Source organism: Homo sapiens, chromosome 4 (assembly GCF_000001405.40).
Source record: "Homo sapiens chromosome 4, GRCh38.p14 Primary Assembly".
NCBI lineage: Eukaryota > Metazoa > Chordata > Mammalia > Primates > Hominidae > Homo > Homo sapiens.
The window spans coordinates 144965542-144974944 of record NC_000004.12 but is presented as its reverse complement, the minus strand read 5'-3'; the positions used below and the strand labels follow the sequence as shown (position 1 = coordinate 144974944).

Here is a 9403-nt window from a genome sequence, read left to right as displayed (position 1 = left end):
TTCTTGGCCTTTAAATCAGCATACATGTTGCCCACACATGTACACACACAACCTGACAGAATTTTTATTGGGATTATTTGACCCTATACTATAGATCAATCTGAGGAAAAATGATACTTTTACAATATTGAGTCTTTTAATTCATAGAATATTCCATGTGTTTGAATCTTTAATCTTTCAATAATGTTTTATTGTTTTCTAGAGAGATATTTTATGTGACTTTTGTAGATTTATTCCTAGGAATTTGATAATTTTGATGCTATTATAAATAGTGCTTTTACAAATTTGTTTTGGTAAGTGGAAATAAAATTTATTTTTGTGTCTTGACTTTGTATTGGCAATCTTTAACTTATTGTTTAATTAGAATAATTTAAATTTTTACATCTGTAAATAAAGGCTATGTTGTTCCTTCTTTTTCTTTTCTCGTGTCTTTTATTTATTTTATTTTCTTATTGTACTCGCTAGGCCCCGCAGTAAGGTATTAAATAGAAATCTGAGATGTCGTATTAAGCAGCCATTCTTGTTTCTGATCACAATGTGAAAATTTTCAGGATTTCATGATTTTGTATGATGTTTGCTTAGGTATTTTGGAGAAATCCTTAATCAAATTAATGCTATTTCCTAGTTTACCAAATGTCTGTCTGCTTGTTAATCATGAATGAATATCGAGTATACAAAACTTTCCTTGCATCTACTGAAATTACCATATGTTTCCCTTTATTATTATGTTGAATTATATTGGTTGATATTTGAATGTTAAATCAACTATCGATCCTGGAATAAATCCAGCTTTGTTATGGGCAGTATCCTTTTGTGGGAATCACTTAATTTTGTTTGCTAATAATTTGCTGAGGAATTTTTTATCTATGTGTATCACAGGATTTTTGCATTATGAGTGAGATTGACCTGTGATATTCCTTTTTTTGTATTTTTCTTGTCACATTTTTGTATTGAGATCAGTTTGGCCTCAAAAAATAAAAAACGTTTTAAATTTTTTTCTATTTTCTGGAAAAATTTGTGTGAGATTAGAATAATTTCTTAAATTATTTGTAAAATTCACTGATGAAGACATAGATTGAATTGATATATCTATATAGAAAACTATTTAGATTTTTGTACATCTTCTTGTGTAAGTTTTGGAATTTATATTTTTCTGAGAGTTTATCCATTTCCTATACATTTTCAAAATTATTGGCATAAATTTATTTATATTATCATTTTATGATCTTTATAATGTCTGTAGAATATGTAGTGTTAGACTCCTCATCGTTCCTGATATTGGTTATTTGTGACTTCTCTTTTTTCCTCTTTATCAATCTCATCAAAACCTTATCCATTCTTTTGGTCTTTTCTAAGAACAAACTTGTGGGTTTATTGATCCCTTCTGTTGCATATATTTATTTTATTGTATTAATTTCTGCTTATTATAATTATTAGTTTATATTGAAGAGGTACATGTGTAGGTTTGTTACATAGGTATATTGCATGATGCTGAGGTTGGGGCTCCTAGTGATTCCGTCACCCAGGACATAAACATAATACTCAATAGGTGGTTCTTCAACCCTTGCATTCCTCCCTCCTTCCCCGCGTTTGGAATCCAGTGTTTATTGTTACTATCTTCGTGTTCATGTGAATCCAGTGTTTAGCTCCCACTTCTAAGTGAGAACATGCAGTATTTGGTTTTCTATGTCTGCCTTAATTTGCTTAGGGTAATGGCTTCCAGCTGCATCCATGTTGCTGAAAAGTACATGGTTTGGTTATTTTTTATGGCTGCACGCTCTTCATTATTTTCTTCTATTTTCTTTGGGCTTAACTTACCTTATTTTTCTAACATTTTGAAATGGATACTTAGATTAATGATTTTTAGCATTCTTTTCTAAAATATATACTTAAAGGCTGTAAAGTTTCCTCCAAGTGCAGCTCTAGTTTATCTTATATGTTTTGACACTTAATTATTCATAATTATTCAGTTACAATATTTTCTAATTTCTATAAGAATGGCTTTTTTTGACCCACAGTTTATTTAGAAGCATGTTGCTTAATTTTCTCCTTAAATATATAGAGATTTTCAAGGTATCCTTTTATCATTGACTTACAGAATAATTGCTCTGTGGTCAGGGAACATTTTTTGAAATTTGTTGAAACTTGCTTTAATATCCTAGCATATGCTCAATTTTTATTAATGTTTCATGAAAATAGTATTTACCCTTGAGTTTTGGGGTGCAGTGTTCTATGTATGTCAAGTAATTAGGTTTTTTAGTGTATCATCCAATATTTTAATACTACTGATTTTTGTGTCTGCTTGGTCTATCGGTTAATAAGAAAGTTGTATGAAACTCTTCCATATGATTGTGGATATGTCTGCTTTTCCTTATAATTCTGTCAATTGTCTCTTTATATGTTTTGAGGCCATATTTGTAAGTACATACATATTTAGAATTATTGTATCTTTCTGGCAGATCAAACCAGAAATTTTGAAGTATTTATGAATTATACTTATGAAGTATGCTTATTTTCAAGTGTACATTTTTAAATCTGTAGTCATGTTTTCTGCTATAAAATCTACTTTGTCTGATTTAATAAAACTATACTAGTTTCTTTTGATTAATGTTTGAATGCTATGTTTTTTTCCATTCTTTTATTTGCTACCCTTTTGCATTCCTGTATTTATTATATGTTTTCTGTAAACAAAATATAATTAGGTTTTGTTTTTTACTCAGTCTGACTCTGATGAGACAAAAATTGATATGGCTTATTTGGAAGACACTGCCTCCCAAACCAATACAAGTAAACATCTAGGTGACAGAAAACTTTAGAAAGATAGTTTGAGGCCAGATTTTGGAGAGTCTTTCAGTATCAAAGTAAAAATTTCTGTTTGTATCTTCTAAGTTCCAGGGAACCATTGAAGGATTTTTATTTTTTTATTGTTATTATTTTCATTAAAGGGTTTTAAACAGGTGAACAATACGTCTTTTAAGAAGGTTAAGTCAACAAGATTCAAATGGAGCAGCAAGCACTAGAGACAATAAAGGTAGGGACTGAAATTCTTTTAATAAGGTAGCACTTAGGACAATAGTACCTGATACATAGTAAGCTTGCAATAAAATATTTGATAACGAAAGGAAAAATCCATGTGTGATGTGATGACCAGCCAACCCAAACAGGGGTGTGGCAGTGGAAGTGGCAAGGAATGACTGGATATATACAATACAATAGACAGAACTCATTGACTGCTTATGTGTAAGTGAGCAGAAATTTCAAGTTTATGTTAAAGTTAATTAACAGATATGAATATCATGCTAAGATATTTATATAGGTGTCTATTACATGGGAGCCTCAGAAGAATAAGTAATGGAACAGTGGTGAATATATTGATCATTAATCTATAAGGCATTACAAATATATATAAGAAAACATGTAAAGATGAATATATCCTATTTCTTTACCACTGCCACCCCTAACTTTAAAACTATCACGTGAGCTTTGGTGTGTAGAGCAACATCCTCTAGATGCTATATAGGGTAGTAACTTGCTCTACGTCTGTGTTTTTGTAGGCCCTTTTGATGAAAGAGCATCAGTTTACACATTTCTGAGAGGAGGTGTTTTCCTGCAGTAGCTAAAATGTGCATTTACAACTTTATATTTATTATTACACGGTGCCAATGCAAGCCAGTGGCAAATAATTCAATGTTTTCTATTTCTGATTTTGCCTTGATCGTCCCCAAAAGTGCAGTTATTAATCCTTCTCTTAACAGTGGCTCTCCATTTTTTATTTTTATGTATATTAAGGAATTCAGAATTTGTAGTAGTTATCAAATTTTTAGATTTTAGACTCAGTGAAAATATGTGATAATTCTTTTTGTCATAATTATTTAGTAATCTCTGTAAGACACTTTCATTATGTGAATTTCTTGGGTATTTCTATGGGTTTTTCCACCCAGTGTGGATTGTTTTCTCTTTTGTTTTAAACCTTGCATTGTGAGCTTATCTTCAGCAGGGCTTTGTCTGTAAAACTCCTGTGCAGCCTGGGTTAAGAATTGTCTTTCAGAATAGTTTTGGGTTTACTTCTGCATGTACTCTCTAGAGATCCCTGGCTTGGGACCTATTTCTTTGTAATTTCTTGACTTGTGGCTTTCTAGGCCACATTTGAGATAATTTCAATCCTGTATGAGTTCAGGCTCATATTATGGATTCTCAAGAGATTTCTTTTCCCCACCTAGAGCCCAAGCATAGAAGAACCAGTTTCACTATTGTCTATTGTCTTCTTTTGCTGGTGGCCAGAGAGTTTAGCTCTTCGAGTTTTATACAGAGATCTTAGTTTCAGTATGCCACATTGCAAGAGTTAAGTTCTCATCTCCTATGTTTTTTCTTTTTCACATTCCCTGAAAAATCAAACTCCTAGATGACAACTCCTACTCACCACCCACCATCGAGGCAAACACAGGATAGACTACTCATGTGCCAGTCCGGTTTTCAGTTGCTTCATTATTCCTGGCATCTGTATATTTTTCTTTTATATGAGCTCAGCTAAGCATTATAAGTTCATGTATTTTTTCCCAGCATTTCCAGTTTATCTAGCAGGAGAGTTTTTATGTATAGTTTTCCATATTACTGAAACTCAAATCTGGAATTCTTTCCACATCTGTAAAGTCTTTTTTCACATGTTTCTAAATATCCTTGACTTGATTTTTTTTTTAAAGAACATTACATTTCACAGTTGTTGTGGCCTTAAAATGGTATTTCCCATCTTTTGGATTTAATTTAAGAAGTAGGACCTAATTCTAATATCATTAAACCTTGCCACTTCATAAATTCTACTCAAAGGCACAAAGGGAATAATTAAGTCTGAAGATTGATAGAAGACTGGCTGTTTTAACTTAGCCTGAGGAAGTAACCCTGAAGAATGCACCCCATGTGAATAAATAACAACAAATTCAGTGTGATTACCTTGAGTTCTACGAAACAGGGGAATTGAGAAATGAGAACACAGGGGGGTTTCAATTACATTTGTAATGTTTCATTTCTTAAGCCGGTAGTATATACCCAGGGGTTCATTATATGCTCTACCATTTTTAAAAATTTGAAATATTTGATAATAAAAATAATTGTTAAAGAAATTATCACCATAATGCAAACAGTACCACATCTTTAATTTCATATAACATAAGATATACAGGGCATTTGGCATTTGTCATGTGTGCTTGTCAAGTGAATAGATAATTTTTCATCCCAAAGACGTCAGAGAGTAAGTTGTTCTTTCAGCAACTGTTAAGATTTAGTTATCCCCATACTAGACTCTCTTTTCTCCCATGCCTGTTGAAAATATCACACGACTGACAACAAGATCCAGTCTATCCAGCGAGTATGCTATTTCCAACTTGGGAAGTAATTCCAGCATTATCTGGAATAGTAATAGGTTGAATTTGAATCGTATTCTTTGCTAAAAAGGTCCTTTTAAGTGTTTTTGCAATAAAGTTATCTGCTGATTTTATTTTTTTGTTCATGTGAATTACAAGTGTTGTTATTTGGTGATCTTGTTCACTTACATCTTTTAATACTAAAATATGAAAAAGGAAGAAAAGATTGCCATTTAGAGGGACCCAGGTCCCTTTGAATGTCTACTTAGGCCTGACACCCTGCTTGATTCCTTGCATAAACTGTTTCTCATCCTCACAACATTAAAAATAGTTAACATTTACTGAGCACTTTCTTTGTGCCAGTCACATGATATTCTTTATGTAATATTTAATTCCTACAACATTCCTACAAAATAGGTCTTATTATCTCTCTTTCAGATTGGAGAAAACAGCTTAGATGAATTCGACTAAGTAATAGAACTACTAAATAGAATATTTATCTTTGAGTAACTCTGAAATAACTCCCCCTATATACGTATGCATGTATGTACGTGTATGTGTTAGACTATCTTTCTATCATCTCTTCTACATAATATTGTCTAGTATCGAATACCTCATAGCAATAATTTGACATCACTTGGGCATCAGAAAGATTCATGTCACTGTTACAATACGTAGGTAGGATGTAGCTGCTTCTTATTTACAAACAGTAGCTAAGACAAAAATATAAGGAATGGATGAGCAGTCGAAAGAAAGCTGGGTGATTAGGACAGAGGAGTGGTTGGAGGGCAGAATGCTATAAGAAATCAGCTGCCTGAGGCTAGGTGGTAGAATACTTATTGATGTTGATGGTATGTGTGGATAAGTTAGGTATGTAGCCTCTGGTTTTATGTTTTCTGCCATACCAAAGACAAAAGGACAATGTTGTCCTGGGATCCTCACCTTTGACCTAATCAAATAAAATCTTCTCTCTTCACTTCACTTGTTAGGGAAGAGGGGTGATGCAGGAAGGAGACAAAAAATTAAAAAATGAAAAGAAGGCCAGGCTATATTGTTTCCTATTTATTTGGCAGATAAGCTCATTGCTTTTCAGAAAAAAGAGGAAGGAAGGATGGAGGGAGAGATAAAAGGATGGAGAGGTGGAGAGGAGGAGATTGATTTAATACAGAGAAAAGTATTAAATTGTATTTCTGTGACTTCTTAGTGAATATTAAGACATTTTGTGACTTTACAACTTTGTTTAGAAAATATTAATGTGATTTAATCTAAACTGAGCCGTGTAAAGCATGATGTGTCTCTTTTTCCCCCGTCCTTCTTAGAGAAATTCATGTATCTCCAAACTTCATCTTGAACTATTGAATTTACTTCATACTGAGGCTTGTGTTTAATTATTTTGGCCTTGTGTAAGTAACTTTGGCTCTGAGGCACTTAGACAATTAGGGGTCCTTCATTGGATTAGCAAAAATTATAAATGAATTAGTATAATCTCAATTAAAATAATATTTCATCTATCCAATTTACCATTGCTGTTTACATGTGGTCTAATCTAAGTCCTACTCTGATAACACCCTTAATAATAAAATTGACTCATAAGACTCAGAGGCATGAGTGTGAGCAGATGTTTTGTTTTGCCTTCAGAATTTCACAGGTGTCCAAAAACATTGTAAAGATGCAAGAAGGGGCCAATCTAAGGACAAATGCCCTGGGGTGGCCAATAAATAACTCTGCTTGTATGAATATTTTGCTGATTTGTAGTGTAAAAATCAGCTATTAAATTTAAATTGGTTCTTGTGGAAAATTGTGAATCCCTCTTCTACAGACTTTCTTAGAAAGATTTAAGTATTTTTAGAGTTCTCCCTGATGCCAGATTTTGAGCTTTCTGTTGTCTTATTCCTTGGGTAGCTGCTGTCTTGCTACCCCTACCCCTTATGTTTATGATAAGAACTAGAAAATTTTATTAAGAATCTTTTAGAAGACCTTTTGAAAGATTTTAATAAAAATTTCTTTTAAAAATATATTTCATTTTTATACACATAAAATGAAAGTAAATTATTCAAATATTTTGTAAAATATTTTATTGTTTACGAAGAACATCCATGCCCATTTTTTCGCAAATTCTTAAAGCAACCCTGTCAGGTAAGTAAAGCAGGTGTGTCACCCCCACAGGACAGACGAAACTGAAACCACAAGTAGTAAATGACTCAGGTCTTCTGACTTCTGAACTAGAGTTATTTTCATGTTTCATCTTGTTCCTTGACCAAATGGCAATGAAAGGATCCAATTTTTATATGGATGCTTGGGTTTTTGTATCTGATACTGCCTTTTGGAAACTTTATGGAATCATAAGGCCTATAACTGTTAATGGTTGATAAATTCTATCTTAGTTAACTAACTTTGATTCTTCTCGCCCTGTGTTCTGTATCTCAGAAGTGAAGAATCAAGTGAGAATGGAGGAGGTGAAGCTCTTATCACTAAAAAAATGTTTAAGTTACTGCTGCAGATGGTAAGCATGTAATAAATGGCAGCTTTAAGGACTATTTCAACATGGTATGGGAGTAGATTCTTATTTCAGGGTTATAAGATTTAATTAAACACCCTCTTCATTAATGGGAGCTTTGTGGGGCTGCACACACAAGTCACTTCTTCCTAGGACTTTAGTGCACTGTATATGCTGTGTCATTCATTCCTCAAGAGCAGTGTTAGCTCCAAGTAGGCAACTGTGATGCCTAAATGTTGAAAACTCTAACACCACTGTATTTATTTTTATGAGAATTAGGTCAAAATTAGCCTAAGCAGAGACACCAAATAACTTAGGATCATGAGCAAAATGGGAAATAAAAGGTGTTTTATACTGAATCTTTACAGATGGATTTGGCAAAGAACAGTTAATTAACCATGAGCCCAATTGGGGATACATTTTTAATGGTTTGCAGGTAGTCTAGAGTAAAAGCTAAATAAGAAATTCCAGCTCAAACTGCTCTTCTAAAATGGGATAAGAACTATAGCAGTGAATTAAAATAGCCTGTGAATGTTTCTAACCAATATAAAAATACCAGTTATGAAATATTTCTTTTACTCTTTGCCAATTCTTTAATAGTCCATTAGGTATTTCTAAAGGGTGGAGTATTTGAAATGAGAATTTGGGCTCAGAAGGCTGAAGGGCTAGAATCTTGAATAAACTGACTGAGGCTAGATAGAACAGGATGTGAAAGGGGACTTTTTTAGTGGTGGATTTGCCTTCAAACTGGGCATGTGTTGCATTTGGATAAGTGCTTGAAAATTCCAGGAATCACTGAAAAAGGAACTTAAAGAAATTAGAAAATTACTGGTTTAATTCTGTGCTACTGCATTAGAGCTGTCTGCTTTTTTAATTTTTTTTTTTTTTTTTTACTTTAAGTTCAGGGATACATGTGCAGATATGCAGGTTGGTTACATAGGTATACATGTGCCGTGGTGGTTTGCTGCACCTATCAACCTGTCATCTAGGTTTTAAGCCCCGCATGCATTCGATATTTTTCCTAATGCTCTCCCTCCCCTTGCTGCCTACCCCCTAACAGGCCCCAGAGTGTGATGTTCCCCTCCCTGTGTCCATGTATTCTCATTGTTCAACTCCCACTTATGAGTGAGAACATGTGGTGCTTGGTTTTCTGTTCTTGTGTTAGTTTGCTGAGAATGATAGTTTCCAGCTTCATCCATGTCCCTGCAAAGGACATGAACTCATCCTTTTATATGGCTGCATAGTATTCCATGGTGTATATGTGCCACATTTTCTTTATCCAGTCTATCATTGGTGGGCATTTGGGTTGGTTCCAAGTCTTTGCTCTTATAAGTAGTGCTGCAATAAATGTATGTGTTCACATGTCTTTATAGTAGAATGATTTATAATCCTTTGGGTATATACCCAGTAATGGGATTGCTGGGTCAAATGGTATTTCCGGTTCTAGATCCTTGAGGAATAACCACACTGTCTTCCACAATGGTTGAACTAATTTACACTCCCACCAACAGTGTAAAAGCGTTCCTATTTCTCCACACCCTTGCCAGCA

General features: G+C 33.5%; 1 long non-coding RNA gene across 1 annotated transcript; it reads left to right on the top strand.

Annotated features, from left to right (window-relative positions):
* Positions 1-2659: 2659 nt before the first annotated feature.
* Positions 2660-7900, top strand: LOC124900793 (uncharacterized). Its single transcript, XR_007058293.1, has 2 exons — positions 2660-3031; positions 7785-7900. It is a non-coding gene; the product is annotated as an uncharacterized LOC124900793 (long non-coding RNA).
* The last annotated feature ends 1503 nt before the right edge of the window (positions 7901-9403 follow it).